Source organism: Homo sapiens, chromosome 22 (assembly GCF_000001405.40).
Source record: "Homo sapiens chromosome 22, GRCh38.p14 Primary Assembly".
NCBI classification, from domain to species: Eukaryota; Metazoa; Chordata; class Mammalia; order Primates; family Hominidae; genus Homo; species Homo sapiens.
The window spans coordinates 17,790,970-17,814,983 of NC_000022.11; the positions used below are offsets into that span (position 1 = coordinate 17,790,970).

Here is a 24,014-nt window from a genome sequence, read left to right on the forward strand (position 1 = left end):
GCCTCCATGGGTGCCTTACCCCACTCACCTTCCACTGCCATGCGTTCCCGGAGCTCCTGCTGCAGTCGACTCTGCCGGTCTTCCAGCTCCAGCTCCCGGGCACTGAGGAGGCAGGGCAGGAGGGAGACAAGCCACAGTGACTGGGGACCACCCCTCACCCCCAAATCTGGAAGGACCTCCATGCCGGCTGTGACAAGCATAGCGCTGACGCCCCCTACCCAAGGCCACTCACAAGATCATCAGCTCCGACTCGTAGCGCACCATGGCGTTCTTCTCCTGCACTAGCTTGAACCACTCCTGCATCAGCTTGGGGTCGTCCTTCTTGCCCATGCCTGCCGAGAGAACGCTTGTGTCGGGTGCAGGGAGTGCCGCGCCCACCCTGGCCCGCAGGAATCACACGGGGCAAATGTGCAAAGAGGGCCGAGCAAGATGCTGCCGGAACTTCCACTCCCAAGCCAGGCCCAAGGTTTGCCTGCAGCCATGGGGCCCTGGCGTCCCCCTTCCTGGGGCCTGCGCTTTCCCGTGTCCTGCCATCCCTGTTCACCCCGTCAGCGACCTCGCCAGCAGGGACCTTGCCCTCCCCGGGGCTGGTTTCTACCCCTCCTGCTCTGTGTGCTCTCTTAGGATGACTTACATTGCTTTCCCTCTTTTTTGCCACTCAATGTTTATTTGGCACTTGCTATGTACTAGGTCTCCTTGGAGGAAACCCGTCTTGTTAAACGAGACAAATGTGAATTTGTAAACTGCACCCTGCCCTCAGGTCATGCTCATTTAACTCAGCTCTTTCTTGGGCTACTGCCCCTCTCCAGGGGCCACCAGAATAGATGCCTTGTCCATTTGTTTACCTCCTGACCAGGAAGAGAAGATACCACCCCTTAACTTGTGGCCTATCAAGCTTCCGGATGCTCTCCCGCTGGATCCCGCATGGTCGATGCAGGGCATCTCAGGATGGCCGCAGGGTTTCTCACCAAGAGCAGAGAAACACTAGCAGCCCCTGGGGATGGAAGGAGGTGGCCACGCCCTGCCCTGGTCCAATCCAACAGAATGCCTGTGTCTGGTGGCTGCCTGCTAGCTCAGGCTGCCTGAACCAACAGGTGCCGATACCAAACCTCCCCCAGGGACGGCCTGACCACTGGGCTTCACTGTGGCAGGAGGACAGAAGGAAGAAGTCTCCAAGGGACCAAGCCACCCAACGAGAGAACAAGGTCCTTTTCCTTGGAGCACAGAAGTTCATGGCAAAAGTGTGGTCCTGCCTAAAATACATGCTGTGTCAGTGGCTCTTCAATATTTTTGGATTACAAACCACTTTGAGAATCTCATAAAAGCTAGGGACTCTCTTCCTAGAAAAATGCTTATGTGTGCAGAGCAAACCATTTGATGCAGAGTTCCAAGCTGCTCCTGGGCTTCCTGGGGTCCATCCATGGGCCTCAGGTTAAGGGGCACTAGACGGGGACATCTTTCAGAGGCCCTTGCACTCTCTGCGTCCCTTGGCAGGGGGCGTTCTAGGCCAGTTAAGACAAGCCCAGGAGTGTGAGGAACACAGCCTCAGAAGGGCCAGCCACAGCCCGAGTCCTCCCTCACTGCTAGCTGCCTTTCTCCACCTGCCTTTCTGGCACACGGTACACAGACACACCTCTTATCTGCAGTGGTGTCTGCTAGACAGTTAGTCTCTACCCAGTGGCCACACCAAGGAGGCAGAAATGCACCATGTTCAACAAGCAGGGGTTAGTGTCTGTACTGTGCCCTAGTGCACATGCGGTTCTGCTCCCAAGGGGGTTCCTGCCCCTGAGCCTCCTCTGAAGGACGGAAACCCCCCAGCCTGTCCAGCCTGCAACTGTGGAGTGTGTGCCTGAGGGTCAGGGGACCAGCGCTCTCCTCACCCAATCCAATAGGCTTGGGTTTTGGCCTTTAAGCCAGCCCCCACTCAGTTCCATGCATTGCTTTCGGAGCGTCTCTGCACAATGTGCCCACATGGCCGTGGAGGAGGGGCCCGAGGCATGCAAGCTGTCCAGTGCGCCCGGCCACGGCGGCACCAGGGAGTCTCTCCCGCTGCCCACCTCCCCACGAAGATACAGAAAATGCCACCGGAGACGTGCGGACAGCGCTCACTAGCTATGGAGAGCTCGCCCACGGCCGCCAGGCAGGGGCTGTGGTGTGTGAGCGAGAGTCGGGTGAGCGCTGTGGACGGCAGGTAAGAGTTAGCAGGGTTAGTCACGGCCACACCCCCCACATGCCTTTCAACGACAATCTTATCACCACAACAGACTTCAAATCAGACAAACTTAAAACACGCACACTCAGCAAGACACGAGGTAGAGAGGTTTGCTTTCAGTGGTTGTTTGGAAAGGGGCCCGAGGGCACTGGTGTAGATCAGTCTTTGTAAGGACAGTATTCCTTGACTCTCCCATCCAAATCGCTGCACGCAGGCGGGAGGCTCCTCACCTGCATGCCTGCCCCTCTATCTGATGGATCTGAGACTTAAAGCCCCAGCCACGAAGGGCCAGCCAATGCTGCAGCCCTGAAGGACCCAGACCTGGAGGCTCTCTGGCTTTACTCTGCACCCTGGTCCTCCCCATAGACAGTCAAAGGGATACTGTACCTTTAGAAACTGCCACAGACTCATGACATTTTGTAACAGGACTATTGAGGGTCAGAGAGAAAGAAAGAGAGAGAGGTAGGTGGGTTCTGGCTCTGTGTTTGACTAGTGTTGCTACACCCCCTCCGAGGCAGTGGGGATGGGGTTGGCGAGGTTACGTTACCTTCCTGGACACAGCAAGGGCAGAAGGAGAGAGGTCTACGTCGTGGAGTCCCGCCACTGGGCTCAACTTCAAAAGGGACCAAGCAAGGAAGAGGAGGAGACGGAGAAAGACAAAAAAGGAAGAGGAGGAGAGGAGCAGGAATTTGGAAGTGGAGAGGGACAGGGAGAAGGTGGAATAAAAACAAGCAGAGGACAAAAAGCATAAAAAGTGAGAAAGGAACAACAGGAGGAAAAGAAAATAATACAAGAAATGGAGAAGCAGAAACAAGGGAAACAAAGTCTACAAATGAATTAAGTCCTTTTTTCAGCACGGAACTGAACGAGAGCAGATCCAGCTCTGGCAGCATCACAGAGGGGGCGGGGGGCCAGAGCCACAGTGTGGATTCCTCCAAGAGGGATGATGTGTTCCCTACACAATGATGGCAGCACTCGGGCCACAGGGCCCTCCTGCCTCTACTCCTTATCAGGAGGGCAGTGGCATCTGGGTTGTCATACCGGGGCCTTTGGGGCCTTGGGCCCCCTCCTCAAAGCCCCTGGATAGGTCTGCCTGGCTCTGAGACAGACTGCATTCAATAAGTGGCCAACATGGCTTCCAGGCTTGCAGGTGACAACCTGGGGTCACCTCCCAGACCCACGTGGAATCCTCTAAGATGTCACCACAGGTATGTGCCTGAGGCAAAGCTGGCCTTGACAAGTGCAGGGCAAGGAGGGGCCTCTGAGTCTGTGGGGGCAGCACGCCATCCGGTGACGGGCCTCCAGGACGCTCACACCTGCGCTCCTTCAAATTCTGAGCCAGGACAATTTTGGGGAAATGTACAAACACAGAGGTGACTTCCACCCGTCCGTGTCACTGTCCCCTCTCTCCCCCAGGAACAGGGAGAGCCAACCACCCCCTTTCCTTCTGGCCCTTCTATGGCTGTGCAGGGACCCCATGCTGCAGCTGGGGGCTGTCACACTCTGGATTGTGAGACCAAAGGGGTGAGCTGACAGGACACGCCAAAACTTACAGGAACGATGCTGGGAGGAGTGCTGACGGGGCATCGAGAGACAGTGTGCAGAGAGACATCTCTAGATCTGGGGTCTGATGGCTACTCAAGGACGAGGGAGAGGAGTTTGGCAAGGGACCATCACAGAACCACAGAGCACACACAGGGACAACAGAGCCCAGGAAGACACGGGGCCTCGGCCCGCGGGGAGGGCAGTGTGTGGTTTACAGAGAGAACAGGGTTGAAGAAATGGCCTTGTTTTACTCAACAGAAGGCCAACAAGACAAAGAGCTGGCTGAGAGGCCGCTCAGCGGTGCAGCTGCATGAATACAGGTGTTTTCTGTCTTTGAACCCTTCCAGCGTGGCGTACCTTGGGCACACTGAATCTGCTATTGGGTACAACTTCAAAACCAAAGCCAGGGACAGTGTGCATGCGTGTGAAATGCTGAGTGTACCCAATGTGCTAAGCACACACGGCACAGCCGGCCGAATGCATGGGTACGAGGGAGGATTTCTTTCCTCAACAATACACTCTGCCTTACAGCCGACCTACAGTCAACCTCGGCTTCAAAGTGTAGTCTGTCTTCAGGCTTGGAACACCTGGATGAATCCCATCAAATACGTCAGTGAACAGTCCCTGCCACCTCCTGGGACTGGTGTCACAGGTGAATAGGCCATGCTGTGGAGCGGAACAGCGCCCATGTGATACACAACCAAACACATCCAAAAGGAAGAGGCAGGCGCCTGCACGGGTAATAATTACAACACGTGTTTCTGCTTTCTGGACAGCACAAAATACAGCTTTCAGCTGTTTTTATGTAGGCCACATCCTCATACGCCCTTCCCAACACAGAGAACAATATAACAGAATACTGGGAACAGAATTAGGAAATGAAATTAGAAAAAGGGAGCATCAGGTAAAGCAAGCATTTAAAGAAGCCAAAAAGGCTTTCTCCTAGCAAGAGGCAGAAGCGCGTGTGAGCGGCCGGCGAGTCCGAGCTGCGCTGCGGGGCCGCTACCTTCGGACTTCCCTGTACGCTCCACACTTCCACAACGGGCGAGGCTACTTTTATAATCAGAAAAAATGCCCAATCAATACAATTTTCAAAAGAAGAAGTGGAAGGGAAAAACCAATCCAACAAGGGGAGTTCCACCTGACTGGAACCTGACTGAGCATGCATGGGGCGGGGGTGGGGGGTTTATAGTAAATGCTTTGCCTTTTAGGGGGATGTAAGAAATAGAAGACTTGGTTCACTGGTTCTAAGAACAAAGATGCTGTCAAGCTTCTGGCAAATGGAAGTTTTTTGGTTTTTCTCAACATCAGGGTAACGGGTTTCCATCTGTTGCTAACAGGTGCTATAATTTACCACTTCTCAAAGCACTCCTGCGTGCCCTGGGCGCTGGCCACCCCTCCTGAGCTCCCGAGCAGTGAGCGGGTCCTGGTCAGAGGACCCCTCCTCCCTGGAGCACTCTGCTGCGTCTCCAACACTCGGGGGCACATCTGCTCCATCTTTCCCTCTGAAGCAGCACTTCCTTTGGACGTGTGACCCAGGGGTGGCTCTTTAGTGCCACTCGCTTGACACCTGGCGGGCAGGCAGTGCCTGTCACCAAATTTCAAAAAGCAACAGTACACCACCAGGGAGTGAGGCCTGTCCAGAGCAGCGCATGAGATGGGCACGGATGGCACTCTCCGGCTTCAGGGCGCCCTCGCATGCACCACCCACGTGATCCTCACACCGGCCAGGTGTGGCTGCCAGGATGGGCAAATTCAAATGAGGGTTCTGAGGCTCAACGGAGTTAAGTGTGGCAGAGCCTGGAAAAGAAGCCAAATCTTCTTGCCCACTCTGAACTCAGAGCTTTCCCTCTTCAACACAGGCTCCAGGCAAATGTAACAAATGCTGGCGTCTCAGGCAGCTCAAGGAAGAGCAGTCCCACAGACCCTGATCAGAATGTCACACCTGGAAGGGAGGCCCGATGTCCCTTCCTGCCTCGTCTTCTGAAGAGGCCCTGAGAGGGTAAGTAGAGTCTGTTTTGTCTGTGCCTGGGGAGACAGTGAAGGCAGGACCTGAATCCAGGCCTGGCCTTCCTAAGTCGGGGTACCCCCTACACTACCACCTGGCCCTTGGCGCACCCGAGCACCTCACTCCAGGCCCTGCCTCTCATGGGCCCAAGACCCAGTGTGGGGTAGAATGGCCAACAGTGTGGGGGAAAGAGTGGCCAGCTGTAGGGCAGGTCCCCTTCTCTGTACTTGTACTTCTATATTCCCACCTTCTCTCCAACCAAGACTCTTCACCTTGGCACACTGCATCAAGAAGACACCCGGGCAGCTGGAAAAACAAGCAAGCAGATGAGCCCACACACTGAACCTAGATGGTCATCTGGAAGGCAGGCAGGGCCTACCTTAGTCCTTCTGGTACTCGAAATCCAAGAGCCATAGCCCTGAGACTGGGGAGCAGAGGCTTGAGTGCCTTGCTCACAAGGATTAGTGAGGATGCGGTCAGAAAGCTCGGAGGTACGGGGGCTCACACCTGTGATCCCAGCACTTTGGGAGGTGAGGGTGAGATGACTGCTGAACCCAGGAGTTCGAGACCAGCCTGGGCAATGCAGTGAGACCCCGTCTCTACAACAATTAGCTGGGTGTGGTAGTGTGAGTATCTATAGTCCCAGCTACTCAGGAGGCTACGGTGGGAGGGCTGCTTGAGCCCGGGAGGTCAAGGCTGCAGAGAGCCGTGACTGCACCACTGCACTCCAGCCTGGGTGAGTGAGACCCTATCTCTAAAAAATAAATAAATAAGTAATAATAGCCCAGAGGGGCCAAGACAAAGGCCCAACTCTGTTCATAGCCCGACAACCACCAGTGACAATCTGTGTGGCGGTGGGTGCTGGCTTGATGCTCTGCATTTCCGACTCAATCATTCAATTCTGCCTGGTTCTATTTGACCCACTGGCTTCTACATGGATGCTGATATCAAAAACAGCAATATCATACATGAATCATGGCCTGTGGTAAGGATGATGCGGGAGACTACTAATTTATGCCAGAAATGTTTACTGAGCACCCCAAACGCACCGGCCACCAACGCTAACCACGTGGCAGCCAGCAGAGGACGCAGAGGTGGGCACAGCCACAGCGGGCAGGCACGTCGGCGGGCCGTCCTCCAGGCCTGCTGGACAACTGGCCCCGGGGACCTGCCTCATCTTGGTATCCACCTCTGCCCACTAGACAGGCTCCCAGCTCCCCCTGGTTGGACAAAGGCACCATCACCACAGAGCTGGGGAGGTCCCTAAAGCAGTGTCCAGCAGACCAAAAGAGGGCCAATGAGGGAGACTTCTAGAGCCCAGAGGCCCCAGCCTGGAATGCTGCATTTCCCCAGGGAACACGGGTTAGGTCCTGGAGTGTCACCAGACTAGTACCACACACAGAGGTGTAATGAGGAAAATGGGCTTTTTATGAGCCGAGCCACCATTTACAACTCTATTTCCACGTGAAAATACAGAATCCCAAATAATCAGCTTGCAAGCGTTTTAGAATACCAGACTTTCAAGAGGTGGAGGCTGGCCCCACACCCTCCCTTCTGATATGCTGTTGTGTGTTTCACGCACACAGAAACTCTGTAGAGCCCCAAGGTTAACGTCTTCCCCTTTCAGCCACACTTTTGGAACATCCTGCGTAGATAGAGATCATTTTTGGTTTTCAGTTCCCTTTGGTCTCTGAGGATCACGCTCCAAGGCGTCAGGGACAGGAAAGAGGCTCGCTTATTCTCAGGCATATTTTGAGGCTCCACTTTCCTGCCTCTCTGGGCAGCCACGTGCAGCCCTTAGCTTACCAGGGTGGACTCTCTGGACTCTCATTTCTCACACTTGTTTTGGCGGTGATGCCACTATATTTACTGCTAACTATAGTACCACTATAAATAATAACATAAATATTATAATGATAAATAGTGTTGGAGCAATGCCTTTTTTTTTTTTTTTTTTGAGACAGAGTCTCCCTCTGTCACCCAGGCTGGAGTGCAGTGGCGCGATCTCGGCTCACTGCAAGCTCCGCCTCCCGGGTTCACGTCATTCTCCTGCCTCAGCCTCCTGAGTAGCTGGGACTACAGGCGCCCGCCACCACACCCGGCTAATTTTTTGTATTTTTAGTAGAGATGGGGTTTCACCATGTTAGCCAGGATGGTCTCGATCTCCTGACCTTGTGATCTGCCCGCCTCGGCCTCCCAAAGTGCTGGGATTACAGGTGGGAGCCACCGTGCCCGGCCAGAGCAATGCCTTTTTATTGAACTCCTGTCGGAGACACCAAAGAGCTTTTGTCACCTTTTCCTGGGAAACACAAGGGGAATTACCTGTCATGGCTATGCCCAACTGACTGGATTAAACTTTCAGAAAGCAGCCAAGTGCGGTGGCTCACACCTGTAATCCTAGCATTTGGGATGCCGAGACAGGTGGATCACTTGAGGTCTGGAGTTCAAGACCAGGCTGGCCAACATGGTGAAACCCCGTCTCTACTAAAAACACAAAATTAGCTGGGTGTGGTGGCGCACGCCTGTAGTCCCAGCTACTCAGGAGGCTGAGGCAGGAGAATTGCTTGAACCCGGGAGGTGGGGGTTGCAGTGAGTGGAGATGGCGCCACTGGGTGGGTTCCAGCCCGGGTGACAGAGCCAGACCCTGTCTCAAAAACTTTCACAAAGCAAAGTGCTCAGGGCTGGAATTCCTTGGCGGCTCAGGTTTACGGAGTGGGGCCACCGTAGATTTTCCACTCTGCCTTGCTCAGGTTATGCAGCCTGGGAAGTGTGAGGGAAGACTGACCAAATGTGTTGCTGACTAAGAAGGCACTCGGCTATTCTGAGTCCCCAACCCAGGAAGCCTATTTGGTGGGCACCACCAATGCCATGCTCCTGGCCTGGGGCAGCCTTGGCACTGCAAGGCTGAGGTCCAGTCTAAAACCTCGGGCGATGACAAACACCATGGCCCTGACAGGGGTCCCAGCTGGCTGGTGTGCAATACTGCAGACATGCAAGCAGCTGTCATGACAGGGTGAGGCTGGTCCGGCAGGCCCAGTCTAGCATACACATAGTGGGGCTGGGAGACACCTGGTGCTACACAGACTTAATGCAGAGATAAAGCTCCAGGTTGGGAGGAAAAGTGAAGGCAAAAAACCAAACAAATGCATGTAAGAATTACAATCTAAAACACACAAACACACACACACACGCGCGCTGGGAAACCTCACTCTAAAACACACACACACACACACACACACACACACACACGCGTTGGGAAACCTCGCAGGTTCCAAAGTTCCTAAGCAAAGCAGAACCAAGCTGATGGTGGACTGGTCAGGCAAACCAAGAACCTATCAACATGAAACTCAGAGAAGCAGAGAGAACAGGAAGACGGCTGCTCAGAAGGGCAGGGGCTGGCGTCCCTGCACCTCCATCTCACAACAGCAAGAGGCCACCTCCAGTCCTTCATGTTACATTTCTAAACCTTTTGTGTTCTTTAAATTTCCTTTGAGACATATAAATCAAGAGATGAGGTCCCCGAAAACTAGAAATTATGTGTGTGTATTTTCAATCAGTTTTAGAAGAAATGTGGTTTTCTTCTAGATTTCCAGTCATCTGTCTGTTCTAGTGCAATAAAGCAGGCTGGGCCGGCCTGTTCAGGGTCCCAGGGCAGAAGAAAGAAGGGGAGTGGCCACCTGGGGACCCTTCCTCTCTGGTCCAAGGGTTGTTTTGAGTCTTTTTAATGATTTCTTTGGAAATCACAAAGTCCAGCTATGTGAGGAAGGGAAATCTTCATTCTTTATACTCTGTGGCTGAAAAAAGGAACTTTCAGAGCCTTTAGGTAGTTCACTGAGAGCCACTGAAAGAGCCTGGAGCGTGACACACAGAGCACAGGGCAGGGGTAGGAGTCGGCCCCTCTGGACAGGAGGTGGCATTCCCAATGCTCCGAGGGCTGCTTGGAGCTTTGCTCTGCCCATGGGAGAAATGAGACGGGTGCTATGGCACAGAAATGGGGCTTCGGGGTGGCCTTTTGGGGATGCAGGCACAGAGGGGCAAGGGCAACCAGGTTTTACATATGAGGCTCCAGATCTCAAAAGGGTGATTTTCCCTCCAATTAACGAATATTACTAAGTGCTCTAAGAATGACACAAGAGCAGAAACAGAAAAGAAACCTAATTCTGGCATTGCCGTCGTCCTCACGGGCGTGGCGAGAACAGGGCCTAAAGTCCACAAGAGACTCCCTGCAGTGGGGAACGTCCCCTTCAAGCAGCAGCCCCCACGTGGTGGGCAGAACCCGAGAAGTCTTGAATTTACGCAGCATAATGGTCTGGGAAAGGGGAAGTGATGAGCTGATGAGCCCACCTTCAAAGGGTTATGAGTGTCAGTGGTGGGGCACTGTGTGATTCACAAGGCATCCTGAGTTTCCTTTTTCTTTTTTTTTTTTTTTTTTTTTTGAGACGGAGTCTCGCTCTGTCGCCCAGGCTGGAGTGCAGTGGCGGGATCTCGGCTCACTGCAAGCTCCGCCTCCCGGGTTCACGCCATTCTCCTGCCTCAGCCTCCCAAGTAGCCGGGACTACAGGCGCCCGCCACTACGCCCGGCTAATTTTTTTGTATTTTTAGTAGAGACGGGGTTTCACCGTTTTAGCCGGGATGGTCTCGATCTCCTGACCTCGTGATCCGCCCGCCTCGGCCTCCCAAAGTGCTGGGATTACAGGCGTGAGCCACCGCGCCCGGCCTCCTGAGTTTCCTTTTTCTATTTATTTCATTTCCCCCTGGAACTTGCTGGAATTCTAAATCCAAAAAGCTAGTAGCTGCAGTCCGGGAACCCAGAGGAGAAAGCAGCTCACTACCTCTTCTCACTCGAGCAAGGGCGGGTAAAGAAAGCAGGAGATGCGGGCTGGGCGCGGTGGCTCAGGCCTGTAATCCCAGCACTTTGGGAGGCTGAGGCGGGCGGATCACCTGAAGTCAGGAGTTGGAGACCAGCCTGGCCAACATGGTGAAACCCCGTCTCTACTAAAAACACAAAAATTAGCTGGGTGGGGTGGTGGGTACCCGTAATCCCAGCTACTCGGGAGGCTGAGGCAGGAGAATCGCTTGAACCCGGGAGGCGGAGCTTGCAGTGAGCCAAAATCGCGCCACTGCATTCCAGCCTGGGCGACAGAGCGAGACTCCATCTCAAAAAAAACAAACAAACAACAACAACAACAACAAAAAACCCAAAAAACAAAGAAAGCAGGAGATGCGATGGTGTGTTACCGGCATCTTGAACTGGGAGGGAAGTGTGGATACAATCCTAAAGAAACGCGTTCTGACGGCCCCTTCCAGGAGATTCTGAATGTAAACAATTTTTTTTTTTTTTTTTAAGAGACAGGGTTTTGCTTTGTTGCCCAGACTGGAGTGCAGTGCTGCGATCACAGCTCACTGCAGCCTCAAACTCCTGGGCTCATGTGATCCTCCCACCTTAGCCTCCCTAGTAGATGGAACTACAGGCACGTGCCACTATGCCCAGCTAATTTTTAAAATTTCTTTATAGAGACGGGGTTTCACCATCTTGCCCAGGCTAGTTTCAAACTCCTGGGCTCAAATGATACACCTGCCTTGGCCTCCCAAATTGCTGGGATAACAGGTGTGAATTTTTTCACACAGTGAAATTCACTTAGAATAGACATAAACACTCCCGAGGTGGTGTTAGGAGAAGGCAAGAGGCATTAGATGGGAAAAGCGTCTGTTAATTGGAATGTAAGCACCGGCCCTTCTGCAGCACCAGTGGTCGTTGAGTGTGGAGGTCTCTGAACACACCAGAAGCCCTGGGACACTGAGGGAGTCTCCAAGGGCGTGGGTCCGTGGGAGCGTGGGACTGGAGAACACAGGAAGCACAGACAGCAACAGTCTCTCTTCCCAGGGAGGTGAGAGCCCCGCCTTGGACGTGGCACTGTCTGATAGGTGGAATCACAGAACTATGACATTGGTTTTTAAATGAATGGGCCAAGAAGTGACCCTCTTAAAGGAATGGGGTCAGGGTAAAACACGAGACAATTATCTTTGCCATTCTTCTGTTTGAAGACCACCTCTAGGCATGGAGCCTCCACGGGGAGATGAAGGGGGTAGACTGCCAGATCAAGGACACACGGACAGGGAGGAGGAGCCACAGTCCCCAGGATTCCCCTCAACAGAATGACAGCTGCCCAGGAGAAAAGCTGCCTGAAGCTTAGAAATGAGACATGGGGGTCAGCCATTCCTCTGAACTAACACAAATGGCAAGATGCCAAACATACTGCAACCTCTAAGCTAGTGGTTCTCCTGCTCTAGAGGGCATCAGAACCCACTGGAAGGTCTGTTACAGCAGATAACCAGGCCTCACCCCAGAGTTTCTGATTCTGCAGGTCTGGGGCAGGGCCTGAGGCTGTGCCTTCCTAACAGGCTCCTAGGTGATGTTGCTGCTGGTCCAGGGACCACACTTTGAGAACCACGGCCTGGAGCTTTTCCTGTCTTCACTGAAAAGAAGTACAAAGTGAGCCCCAGGACAGAGCAAGGAGGGAGGGACGTTGTTATGGGCACCCGTCAACCTGGCTTTGAGTTTGGTGACTCCGGGCAGAAATCACTACAGAGAAGCCTTTCCCTCGCACTCAGCTCTTCTGGGAGAAACGAGACCACGACCCAGTGAAAATGGTCGGGCTGAGATCTTGGCATGTTTGCTTCTTTGCGTAAGTGTGGCAGGCAGTGAGCTCCCTAGCAGATATGATTCCTACAAGCAGTGAGGGATGAGATTCAGGGCAAAAGCTGTGTTGGAGTGTGTGTATTTAGGGGACCAGGACGCAGATGCAAGGCTGGTGGAGTCGGGTGGGCAAAGTTTTATTATAAAAAATTAAAAACGACCCCAGGCAGCAAAAGCAAGCTCAGATCTTCCTCTGGAGCACATGTGGGCAGCGGGGAGATCAGCACGCTGCTCTGTTTTGAGCTGGAAAAGGGTCTGTGCTTTTGCCATTTGGTTATTGGGTTGATTTCTCCTTGTTTTTGTGAGCAGGGACTGGGAAGCGTGGGTGGAGAAAGGGCGTCAGCGGGGTTAGTGTCAGCACAGGCGCTGCCATACATACCACCCAGATGCAAGTCGATGAGGTCACTGTAATAAGACTCTCCCCAATAGTCTACAACAAGGAATCGGTGAAGAGAGAGTTATTCCATCAGGTAGTCCTCCTGTCCCCCCATACCCAATCAATGATATGATATGGAGCAATCAATGATATGGAGCGCAAGAAACACAGACACAGCGAGGCGGCAGAGGAACGGCTGGAAGGCATGCGTGCCTAAGTGCATCACATACTGCATGTCCACACATGCCGTATCTGCATACTGCGTGGCTGCGGGAGGAGGGCGGTAACTAAAACTCACTGTGGGGAGTCAATGGTCACTATCAACATGATCCCACGTACACCAGGGATCAGCCAGGACAGAGGCTTTGGCTTTGCTGGGAACTCCTGCCCCTGGGACTGAACCTTCTCTAACTAAGAGTTAATAGAGCGGGGCTGCCTGCGTGTCAGTTGCTGATACTGGAAGCCCCAGGCTGAGGGCCTGGAGGCAGGAGGCAAACGTCCTACAGAAGCTCTGAAATCCTTAGGTTTCGTGCAGTCAGTGCTCTCCCAGGAATTCCCACGACCCCACTGCTGACTCTATCAAATGCCTTGCAGACCCACTTTTGCCGAATGGGTTTGAGAGAAAGGGGATCCTGTTTCGAGGCTTAGGCCTCCAAATTCAGTCGGCCTTCTTAACAACAGGAAACGAGCAGAGACTCATGCAGAGTTCTTCCCCCAGGCACTCGGCCGAAGGCTCCTGGAGGTGTGCTGGCCTGGGGCACTCCTAGCCTGGTAGTTCCACAGCTGTCTGGCCAAGAGCGCTATGTAATTTCCACGCCTGAGATGCAGACTGGGCACTGCCGAGAGGCTGGGCTTGAGCAGGCGGTCCTCATCTCCCCAGAATCATAAAGACACACAGAGCACAGCACTCGGCCGCCATGGTGTTGCCCTCTCTCCAAACCCCGCATTCTGAATGCAGATCCTCACAGCCTCCGGTCCCACCTGAGGGCCTCCCCTTGAGAGTGACACAGCAGACACAGTGGTAGAATGCGGTCCTGCCCCAGTTTTTCAATGCATGCTCAAGGCTGAGTCAGTGTTTTTGTAACAAAAAGGCTTCCCAGGTGCCCCAGGACTGGAAATTACCTAAGTTGTGGCCTGGCCCTAGGATCAAAGGTGCTGAAGCTAATCCTTGCAGCCTGGCCATACGTCGTCATACCTTAGACAAACGGAGAACGGGATGGCAGGTCCATGCTAGAGCGCTTCTCTGGAAAGGCAGCTTGGCTAACAAAGTCTGACGCCCTCAGACGGTGATGGAAGCTGGAGACCCCCAAGTGAGATGATGGCAGGTTCCAGCCAGTTTACTACAGTCCCCAGGGAAGGGCAGACTGCCATGATGAGAAGACTCCAGATTATTATCATGCCCAGCTGCCACTGCCTTCTTCAGGGCTCAGCCAGGTGCCACAAGACTAAGAAGAGGAACGGGACGCAGAAGCAGGAGAGAAAGCAGCAGCAGCACGCACACCTGGGCTTCAGAGACGGCATCGGCCAAGGAGGGGCAGGGCCACGGGGAACTGTGATGGGAGACCAGCTTGGAAGGGATGTATTCACGTAAGAGAAGGAACATATTTGGAAATTCTTATATTCTTATGGTAGGAACCATAATTCCTGAAAATTCCAGAGAGTTTCTCAAATGCATCACAACGAAATATCCCAACAGAGCTACTAAGGCCCATCTTGAAAAACAGAACAGAAACATCTTTGGATAGAGATATCTGCTGAAGACTCATCTAAAGGAAGGAGTTTGCACTACGACAGTGGTTTTCAAGCCTCTGTGGAACCCTAAGGTTCTTCCAAAGGCATTCCAAGGGGTCTCCCAAATACCTGATGTACAAATACTTGTAGCTCTTTCAAGAGCCCTTATTAAAATAAGACACACCACCTTCAAATGTTTTTGTTTTTGAGACAGAGTTTCGCTCTTGTTGCCCAGGTTGGACTGCAATGGCGTGATCTCGGCTCACCGCAACCTCCACCTCCCAGGTTCAAGCGATTCTCCTGCCTCAGCCTCCCGAGTAGCTGGGATTACAGGCATGTACCACCATGCCAGGCTAATTTTTTGTATTTTTAGTAGAGACAGGGTTTCTCCATGTTGGTCAGGCTGGTCTCAAACTCCCGGCCTCAGGTGATCCGCCCACCTCGGCCTCCCAAAGTGTTGGGATTACAGGCGTGAGCCACCGCGCCCGGCCCAAATGTTTTATATGCCAACTTTTCACCCACTGGAGACCATCAACCCAATAATTTGTGCTGCCAGGTGAGCTTGATTTTGTGGAGCCCTCAGGATCAAGTTTCCGCCTCTCTCTGTGTGTAAGTGGCTGAACTCCCTGTAAATGTGTTAGTGAAGAGGACATTTTATTCATTTGTTTATTTAAATTCTGGCCTGCAGCATAGTGCTCACCTGCCACCGTTCAGGGTCTGTCCGGGAGAGCTACAGCTCACTGACAGCACGCACGCCTGTCAGCGAGTCCCTTTATGTAGGTGGGTAACACGTTTTGCTGCGGTATTACAGCATGGCTGGGTTTTTGTTTACTTTGTTTGGGAGCCTCTTGTTTGAGACTTGCTTGTCATGAGGAATAGGAACTGCTGTTAGATTTGCTGTGATCCAACTGTGGAAAAAAAAAAAAAAAAGCTCTTGCCTCATTTTAAACTTCTAGTGTCTACATCATTTAAACTGCAGAAATCCTGAGATTTCCAAGTAAGCTGTTAAAAAAACCAAAAACCAACCAAATAAAAAAAACCATGTTGTCACTTATAGCAACTACAGTTCTTGTGTGTACTGGCTGGATGCCGGGGCTTGGTCATGTCCACCACTCTCTGCTATAACCTGTGTTTTCAAATCTGTGTTAATTATTAACATTTGAGAGTAATTCTTTTTGATTTTAAACTTGAACTTATCATCTTGTGAAAAGAGGTCTGCTGCTAGTTTTTTGAAAACCACTGACTTAGACGGCATTTGGGTTGTGTATGTTTGAGGAAATGTGATTATCTAATGACTAGAAGAAATAATTCTGGCAAAACCCTAACGCCAATCTTCAGTGGTATATTATTTTCCGGCCCTTTGGCAGAAGCTTGAATAACAGGGCCCGTGACAGGGGCGTCGAAGCACTGTTTTACACTCAGACTTCACGGAGGCCACAGGCGCTCAAGTGCTTTACGGAAACCACCAACCTTGATGGCACCACCACCTCAACCTCATGAGTAAGGAGGGCAGGGAGCTGTCTTCTTCCTGAAGGGCTTAAACCATGAAATGCGGTTATTCTGTCTGTGTGTTGAGATCTAATCCACTGCTTTCCATCTTGGCAGAAGTGATTTGTGGAGAAGGGCAAGAAGGAATGAAGATGAGCCTAGGCTCTCTCCTGATATCTTCTGCAAGAAGAGAAATGGCACGAGGGCAGGGCCCCATAGGCCCGGACGCAGTCGGGCACAGGTGGGCTGGGGCCAACTCCATCTGGGCTCAGGCTTAACTGAGGAGGCCAAATCAGAGTGCGCAGAGCAGGGCAGGGGGGCAGGGGCACCGCAGGTTCGCTGGGAAACCTCAGACCTTCTTAGGTGAACCCAAATCTCCTTGCTGTGCTTGTCTCACAGTAACACATCCCAGTCGTCTCAGCCTATCGGATGCTAAGTGCTTCAAGTTTTTGCATTTCCTTTGGTAGCCTGGACTTCATGCATTAACAGCATCAGGTGAGCCCAAACCAAGAACATCCACATCCTCACCTTTCTCCCCATCCCATCTCTTTGACTGAAGGTCATCACTGAGTAGCCCTATAAGCTGCAATTTCCAGGCCTTAAAGGGCCTGGGAAAGGAGACCTACTTCCATTCTGGACTCCCTCACTCCCCACCACACAAACTTCAGTCCTACAGGCCACAGGAATTCATCTTGACACCAGGCACTTCCCATGAGCCCATGGGTCAGTCTTTGAGCAAGATCAGATGGCAGCAGCTGGCCCTGCTCCTGGCCGCCTCCTCCCAGTTCGTCCATTTCACAGAGAGCCTGCCTGTCAGCAGAGGCACCCTGCTCCCCTCTGCCACACTAGAGTGAGGAAGTAAGAGGATACTCCTTTTCTTCATCCCCAGCTCACAATTTAAACGCTGAACCTGCAGGCTATAAAGAGACGGAAGTTCCCCCATCCAGAGACTAGACGAAGATTTGTGGATGTTTGAGAAGGCAGAGTGGCCACTGCACCCCCGGGGCTGGTCCTGCAGCTTCAAGGTCCTGAACCAATAGGACTTCCTGGGCCGTGGGGCCAGAGATGCCTCAGGCACTCCCTTGCATTCTCTGTGCCCAACTATGCTGAGCGCAGCCGCGCAGGTTCCCTGGATGGAATGGCAGGAATGAGCGCACCACATTCTCCAGGGCTTCCCTGCCAGGAGCAGCAGTCACGAGCACAGGGCCCTGCCAGCCACTCCCCGGAGTCTGCTCCACGTCGGCTGGTCACATACCCTGAGCCTCTCCAGCCCTGCCCTAAGTGACCAGCCTTCAGCAGACACAGGGCCTGGGTGCCCTCTGGAAATCTGTGTGTGCCGAGGGTGGCCACATGCTCCCCGACCAGCGGTGTTGAGGGCTCTGTGGGCAGGAGGGTCCCAGGGAACTAACGACATGAGGGGGTCTGGGGGTGCAGGCTGGGGACCTGCTCAGTGCAATTCTGTGATGGTTCCTTGCGGTTCAATCTCCCTCACTCCCAGTTATTCCCTCCTAGAGTAAATGGTGGGGTGGGAAGGAGGGGGAAGAGCCAGCGCTCGCCATCAGCATGCCGGGGACTGAGTTTCACTCTATGGGAAATGGCAGCCCAGAGGGGCTGTGGAGCAGGATGGGCCTGGGGCTGTCTCAGACAGGTATTTTCTTTTGCTTAACAGGAAGCCCCAAATCTCAGAGATGAAGGGCCCCAGAAAATCCTGCTGGAAAAGGAGCTGAATTCCAGGTGAGGTGAAGCAAAACTAGCCTACCACGGCGGGAGGGAGGGCTTCCTCCAGGAGCAGAGCTTAGGAGGGAGCCCGGCAGTACCTGCTTCGCCCCGGAGCGCCTTCTCCACAGCCACGCCCCTTTCCTCCAGCCGCCGCTGCCTCTCCTCCACCTGCTGCAGCTGCCGCTGGATGATCTATGACAGACAGCACAGACTGAGCACCCGGCTCTCCAGCCCTGCTTCAGGAGGACACACAACTCCACACCCACACGAGGGGAAACACAGGAGTTGCCGCTCTGGAAAGGGCTCTAGTCTGTGGGCGGTGCGCTCAGGGTGTGGCGTGGAGACCACCTGCACCAGAACCACCTAGCTTGTGTAGACGCCAGGCTCCGGGCCTTGCTAGTTAGCATCAAAGCGCGTGGACGTGACTCAAGTAGTGACCACCCTCCCAGGAGTGTTGCAGAGACAGGAAGTGGATGTAATCTGTGGCAGGAGGGGCCTGAGTACCAGAACCTCAGACTGTTCTCACGGCAAGACTGCTAGAGTGCTGGAGGGGGTTCCTGAAGAGTGCAGTGGAAATCCCATCTTTACGATAAAAATTTAAAACAGAAGGCCAGGCACGGTGGCTCATCCGTGTAATCCCAACACTTTGGGAGGCTGAGGTGGGCGGATCACAAGGTCAAGAGATCAAGACCCTCCTCGCTAGCATGGTGAAACCCTGTCTCTACTAAAAATACAAAAATTAGCTGGATGTGGTGGCACAGGCCTGTAATCCCAGCTACTCGGGAGGCTGAGGCAGGAGAATCGCTTGAACCAGGGAGGCAGAGGTTGCAGTGAGCTCAGCGCCACTGCGCGTCCAGCCTGGCCACGGAGTGAGACTCCGTCTCAAACAAAACAAAACAAAACAAAACAATAGAAATCTACAGTGGTCTAGATTCAGGGTCTGTGCAGCCTGAAAACAAGCTGGAGAATGGGAGGAGAGCTCTGACCTCTGACCTCTTCCCACAAAAATCCCAGGCCTATCAGAGGCTGAGGGGCCACAAATGGACTCCTGGTGACAGTCCTCACAATTGAATGAGGTGACTTACAATGATTATTCTACAACAAGGGATTCGGGAAACTCAATGCAGGGTTCTTCCTTTTTTTTTTTATTTTTATTTTTATGAGATGGAGGCTCGCCCTCTCACCCAGGCTGGAGTGCAATGGTGCAATCTAGGCTCACTGAAATCTCCACCTCCTGGGTTCAAGCGATTCTCGTGCCTCAGCCTCCCAAATAGCTGGGATTACAGGGGCCCGCCACTATGCCTGGCTATTTTTTTTTTTTTTTTTTTTTTTTTTGAGACAGAGTCTCTCTGTGTCGCCTAGGCTGGGGTGCAGTGGCACAATCTCGGCTCACTGCAAGCTCCACTTGCTGGGTTCATGCCATTCTCCTGCCTCAGCCACCCGAGTAGCTGGGACTACAGGCACTTGCCACCACGCCTGGCTAATTTTTTGTATTTTTAGTAGAGACGGGGGTTTCACCGTGTTAGCCAGGATGGTCTCAATCTCCTGACCTTGTGATCCGCCCGCCTTGGCCTCCCAAAGTGCTGAGATTATAGGCATGAGCCACCGCACCCAGCCAATTTTTGTTTTTTTAGTAGAGACGGGGTTTTGCCATGTTGGCCAGGCTGGTCTCGAACTCCTGACCTGAAGTGATCCGCCTGCCTCAGCCTCCCAAAGTGCTGGGATTACAGGCATTGAGCCACCACGCCCAGCCTGCTCTTCCCTTTTGACTGACAGCTCCACCAAGGCAGGGCCTCTGTGGCTGCACCAGCCAAAGGTGACCTGGGTGGCAGGGAGGCCCGTCTACCTCTGCTCTGCTCTGCACTGTGCTTGTGTGGCAGGGAGCAGCTGGGTGGATAGGGAGATGCTGCCCAACCCTCCCATGCATGTGCCCTGGTCCCATCCTCCATGGTTTTACCTGGGCTCGATGCAGCCGCTTAAGCTCCTCCTGCTTGGCCTGTCTCCGAGCTGCCTTTTGCACACGCCGGGTCAGCTTGGCATTCAGTTCCTCCTCCGTGTAGGTTCTTGGCTGGAGAGAACAAGAGAAACTTCCTCAGTCAGGTGCACGGAGGCCTGGGACAGGGGTGGGCAGCAGGCCAACAGGGGCCTGGAGAGGTCTGTCCCCCATGTCGGAGCTGGTACCCGGGCAGATAGGACAAGCTGTCCTCTGTAGAGTAGAGTGCTAGCAGGACGGGGGTGCTGATAGGCAGAAGGCATGAGGTCTGCAGAGTCCCCAGCCTGCAGCAGCCCTCAGTGCCACGGGCACACCTAAGATCCACAGAGTGAGACATTTCCCCACCTCTGCACAGGGACAGGAGGCTGAGTGGGGACCGACTGTTAGGCAGTTAAAACAATAAAGGGACACACGCTCCTTTATCACTGAGATCACCTGCTTCCCAAATAAGGATGTCTGGTCATTTTAAAACTTTGTGGGAGTAAAAACATTGGTAGGCTGTTTCACCAAGCCTCCTGCTTCTAGGAGGCTTACAGGGGAAGCAAAGAGAAATCGGGATCCTTTTATTTTCCTGTTTGGTATCAAAGGTCACTTTCTTCAGAAGAGCAGTATCCATGAGAGTCTTCCAAGAAATGACACCCAAGTAGAGAGAACAAGGATGTTTCTCTTTTAAGTCAAGTACAGTCTGAAGAAGGAATTGTGGAGGTGAACCTGGACTGACTCTGGGGTCTGCAGAGGCAGCCGCTGGCCGCTAGGAAGAAGAGAGGTTGTGGCCTGGCCAGGGCTGTTGCGCCTAGCGCCATCGAGAACAGAAGAGGCAATGGCCCAATCCAGTGCAAGTCCACGGACTGGACAGCCACAGCCCCCTGCCTACGTGGGTGCCAAGGGCTCAAGGGAGCATCAGATGCTTTGAACAAACCATGGGCAACAAGAGGGGCAAAGATTGGGGATTTGCCTTTATTCATAAGACCCTCTTTATTGCCTCTAAGAAAATGAAACAAGGAGACTATATAAAAGTTCTTTTTTGAGAGAGGGTCTCATTGTCACCCAGGCTGGGGGGCAGTGATACGATCATGGCTCACTGCAGCTTCAAACTCCTGGACTCACGTGATCCTCCCGCCTCAGCCTCCCGAGTAGTCAGGACTATAGGCGTGTGCCACCTCGCCCGGACAATTAAAACAATTTTTTTTTGCAGAGACGGGATCTCGTTATATTGCCCAAGCTGGTCTTAATCTCCTGGGCTTAAGTGATTCTCCCACTTCAGCCTCCCAAAATGCTGGGATTACAGGTGTGAGCCACCATACCTGGCCAACAAGAAAACTTTTATAGACTTCAAAGAAGACAAACATGACTTGGGGTCTATACTCATAATCTTCACTCGAAGAGCTCAAATGACAGAGGGTCCCCTGAACAGTCAGTCCCTAAGGGTCATCAGTGGTGTTTCAGCGCTGCACCTTGCTGATCAGAGCTGAGGGCTGCTGAACTGCCCCTCTCTGGGGTGCCCAGCCCCACAGCGGCAGCTGTGTCCCGACCCGAGGAACCTGGAACAAAATGACCACATGCACTCCAGCCGGTGAGGAGCAGGTGTCTCATCCTCCTTCCCACTCATGACGTGGCTAACGGAAGTACTGCTGCCAGTGTGTGCCACAGCCCCATGCACGCACAAACACAGTTAGTGAGGATGTGGCTGGAGGGCCGGGGCCGGCGCCGGGTGGTTAATCACAGACATGCATGCAACGGTGACCAGCTGACAGGAACGAGACACTACCTTTGATGCACATGATCTCCTGAATGCCAAGGCGTGTGGTACATAAATTGACTTTTAAGCGGATGGCATCAGAAAACAAAACAGAATAGTAATAATAATAATGATTAACAAATTAAAAATTAAGAACACAGAAATGGAGCAAAATAAGTTAGAAGTTGAAAACAAACACACAAGACTTAAAACACGAGATTATTTTTCACGAAGTCACACAGGACTGCCTAGGTAGGAATCTGGGTGTGAAGATCCTAGCGGCGGCGTCTGAGTGGACCTGGTTTTGAATACGGCCGGGGTTCACTCTTTTATTGGGAAGAAACAGCTTCTTCCTCACCACCCCCAAAACTCGCCTCATCTCACTGTCCCTTGTGTAAAGTTAAAGCCGTTAAAATATGTGATTCTAGATGCTTTTCTCCTTGAGTGACCATGTGCTTGTGGAAATTCAGCCCACTTCTTCCTGCTGAATGCTCCGGGGGAGTAGAAGTGGGGTGCGGGAGGAAAGGGGGTCCTGCTCTCAGAGACAGACGCAGCAAAACTGGGAGGGAAACCACCCATCTCTCCCAAAAGGCCCTCCGCTGGCAGTGTTCCTGTGTGCCACCCAGCTGCCATTTCTTGATTGTGCCCAGTAAAGGGAATTGAACTACCATCAGTAAGTGCTGTTCACCAAAAGCACGTCAGGCAGCAGCAGGAGCCTCTTCTCATTCCATCACACCTTGTGCAGAGCCGCTCTGAGGGTCAAGGTGAGTCACATCTGCTCTTGTGGTCTCACCAGCCATATTAAACGGCTGAAAGGCATTAGGGAAACCAGGGTGTGTGGTGGCGCACAAGACAGGGAAGTCCTGAGAATTCCAGGCAGGCTGCAACCACAGCCGCGCTCCCTGTTGCTCCATCCATCCCATCTGTGGGGCGGCCTTGTGCGGAGCTGTGCTTCCCAAGCCTACAGGCGAGGGAAGAATAAATTTGCCTCCTTCAACTTTGAGCACTTGTGTCCCGCCTGCCTCAGGTGGACCCACCTCTCCCACAAATCAGAGCAAGAGAATGTTGTTATGAGAACAAGCCGGTTCAGAAAAAGAGACAGATGATTTCCCGAAGCGGCTGCAAAAAGCCCACAGGAACTATGGACCACACCCTAAGGAACAGCACTAACATCTTCACCTATGGCTGATGTCAATAGCAATGGGGGGCAGTGGCTGCCTTCCCACAATCTACCCATTTTCTGGGCTGGGAGGGGTGAAGTCACCACCCGTCCCTGTGTGCCTGAGGTGGTGGTCAGCCACAGGAGCTGACATTCTGCTGTGAATCTGGATGCGGGGTGGCAGGGTACCCAGGCCACACCCTGGTGGGCTGCAGGGCTCAAGAGGCAGCTGCGTTGCTTGTATTTAAAGTCAAATGGGAGCAATTAGAAAAGAGGTAAACGCAAGTTCTCTCTTGTAGGTCGGGCTACAGGTGACTTTTTAAAAGTCTGAATTATCCTAAATTTTCTATAATAAACATTTTAAATAAAAAATAAGTATTTTGACTGGTTTAAAAGTTTATAACAAAACAAAACCCAGGCTCTTGTTTCACAGATGCTGTGAGGCGGGAGGAGGCGTCTGCTGCTGGAGTGGCCCCAGGATCCTGGCCTGGCAGAAGGGGCTTCCTTCTTCCGAGGCAGGTCAAACCCCATCCTCACTTTAGAGCCCCTGTTCCCCACACTTACTTTGAAAGATTTAAACCCACAGGAAAGTTGAAAGAGGAAGACAATGAACACCCACATGCCTCTCACCTGTGTCTGCCAAAGGTTACCATTTTGCCACACGCTTCATCTATATGTCATCTTTTATATGACCTTTTGTAATGAATCATTGGTAGATACCACGACCCTTCGTCCCTAAACGTTTTAGGATGGACTTTCTAACAACTCAGACATTTTCCTATATAACTTTCCTACATAAAAGTACATTAACAGTGCCTTTATCACTTGCAAGGAACTTAACAATTTGATAATATTACACATTTATACTATCATCCAGTCCTCAGTTGAATTTAATTGTTCCCAAAATGTCCTTTATGGCTGTTTTTGTTTGGTTTGTTTTCCTCTTTAGCATCCATGTCTTGAATAGGCACAGCACCCAGCCCTCGCTCAGGCTGACTCCATACCATGCGGAAGTCAGGTCAGCTGCCCGTGGCTCGGTTGTCTCCCATGTCATCTGTCTCCTAGGTTGGCCTTCCCCTAGGTCATTCATCCCCTAGCCTGGCCGTCCCGTAGGTCATCCATCCCCTAGCTTGGCCATCCCATAGGTCATCCATCCCCTAGCTCGACTGTCCCGTAGGTCATCCATCCCCTAGCCGGGCCGTCCCGTAGGTCATCCATCCCCTAGCTCGACTGTCCCCTAGGTCATCCATCCCCTAGCTTGGCCGTCCCGTAGGTCATCCATCCCCTAGCTCGACTGTCCCCTAGGTCATCCATCCCCTAGCCTGGCCGTCCCGTAGGTCATCCATCC

At 52.8% G+C, this 24,014-nt stretch overlaps 1 protein-coding gene across 1 annotated transcript in view, besides 10 other annotated features; it reads right to left on the minus strand.

Annotated features, from left to right (window-relative positions):
* The window catches only part of MICAL3 (microtubule associated monooxygenase, calponin and LIM domain containing 3), a 236,913-nt gene that overhangs the window by 3,321 nt on the left and 209,578 nt on the right, over positions 1–24,014 (minus strand). Inside the window, exons 28-31 of the mRNA NM_015241.3 lie at positions 19,734–19,844; positions 17,875–17,968; positions 233–332; positions 29–102 (exon numbers count right to left, since the gene is read on the minus strand). Of these exons, the coding sequence (NP_056056.2) occupies positions 29–102; positions 233–332; positions 17,875–17,968; positions 19,734–19,844 (379 nt within the window). The remainder of the gene's footprint in view (positions 1–28; positions 103–232; positions 333–17,874; positions 17,969–19,733; positions 19,845–24,014) is intronic.
* Positions 3,496–3,995: an enhancer, noted in NCBI's record as "H3K4me1 hESC enhancer chr22:18277231-18277730 (GRCh37/hg19 assembly coordinates)". NCBI's record gives its function as "activates a minimal SCP1, AML or CMV promoter by ChIP-STARR-seq in naive H9 embryonic stem cells {active_cell/tissue: H9 hESC(naive)}" and the evidence as "EXISTENCE:reporter gene assay evidence [ECO:0000049][PMID:30033119]".
* Positions 4,613–4,722: an enhancer, noted in NCBI's record as "active region_18638". NCBI's record gives its function as "activates an Ori minimal core promoter by ATAC-STARR-seq in GM12878 lymphoblastoid cells {active_cell/tissue: GM12878}" and the evidence as "EXISTENCE:reporter gene assay evidence [ECO:0000049][PMID:35858748]".
* Positions 4,843–4,912: an enhancer, noted in NCBI's record as "active region_18639". NCBI's record gives its function as "activates an Ori minimal core promoter by ATAC-STARR-seq in GM12878 lymphoblastoid cells {active_cell/tissue: GM12878}" and the evidence as "EXISTENCE:reporter gene assay evidence [ECO:0000049][PMID:35858748]".
* Positions 7,203–7,252: an enhancer, noted in NCBI's record as "active region_18640". NCBI's record gives its function as "activates an Ori minimal core promoter by ATAC-STARR-seq in GM12878 lymphoblastoid cells {active_cell/tissue: GM12878}" and the evidence as "EXISTENCE:reporter gene assay evidence [ECO:0000049][PMID:35858748]".
* Positions 9,394–9,663: an enhancer, noted in NCBI's record as "active region_18641". NCBI's record gives its function as "activates an Ori minimal core promoter by ATAC-STARR-seq in GM12878 lymphoblastoid cells {active_cell/tissue: GM12878}" and the evidence as "EXISTENCE:reporter gene assay evidence [ECO:0000049][PMID:35858748]".
* Positions 12,809–14,008: an enhancer, noted in NCBI's record as "MED14-independent group 3 enhancer chr22:18286544-18287743 (GRCh37/hg19 assembly coordinates)". NCBI's record gives its function as "activates an origin of replication core promoter dependent on BRD2, BRD4, P300/CBP and CDK7 cofactors, and independent of MED14, by STARR-seq in HCT116 cells {active_cell/tissue: HCT116}" and the evidence as "EXISTENCE:reporter gene assay evidence [ECO:0000049][PMID:35650434]".
* Positions 12,809–14,682: a biological region, named in NCBI's record as "MED14-independent group 3 enhancer GRCh37_chr22:18286544-18287743".
* Positions 13,003–13,843: an enhancer, noted in NCBI's record as "H3K27ac-H3K4me1 hESC enhancer chr22:18286738-18287578 (GRCh37/hg19 assembly coordinates)". NCBI's record gives its function as "activates a minimal SCP1, AML or CMV promoter by ChIP-STARR-seq in naive H9 embryonic stem cells {active_cell/tissue: H9 hESC(naive)}" and the evidence as "EXISTENCE:reporter gene assay evidence [ECO:0000049][PMID:30033119]".
* Positions 13,844–14,682: an enhancer, noted in NCBI's record as "H3K27ac-H3K4me1 hESC enhancer chr22:18287579-18288417 (GRCh37/hg19 assembly coordinates)". NCBI's record gives its function as "activates a minimal SCP1, AML or CMV promoter by ChIP-STARR-seq in primed H9 embryonic stem cells {active_cell/tissue: H9 hESC(primed)}" and the evidence as "EXISTENCE:reporter gene assay evidence [ECO:0000049][PMID:30033119]".
* Positions 17,704–18,500: an enhancer, noted in NCBI's record as "H3K4me1 hESC enhancer chr22:18291439-18292235 (GRCh37/hg19 assembly coordinates)". NCBI's record gives its function as "activates a minimal SCP1, AML or CMV promoter by ChIP-STARR-seq in naive H9 embryonic stem cells {active_cell/tissue: H9 hESC(naive)}" and the evidence as "EXISTENCE:reporter gene assay evidence [ECO:0000049][PMID:30033119]".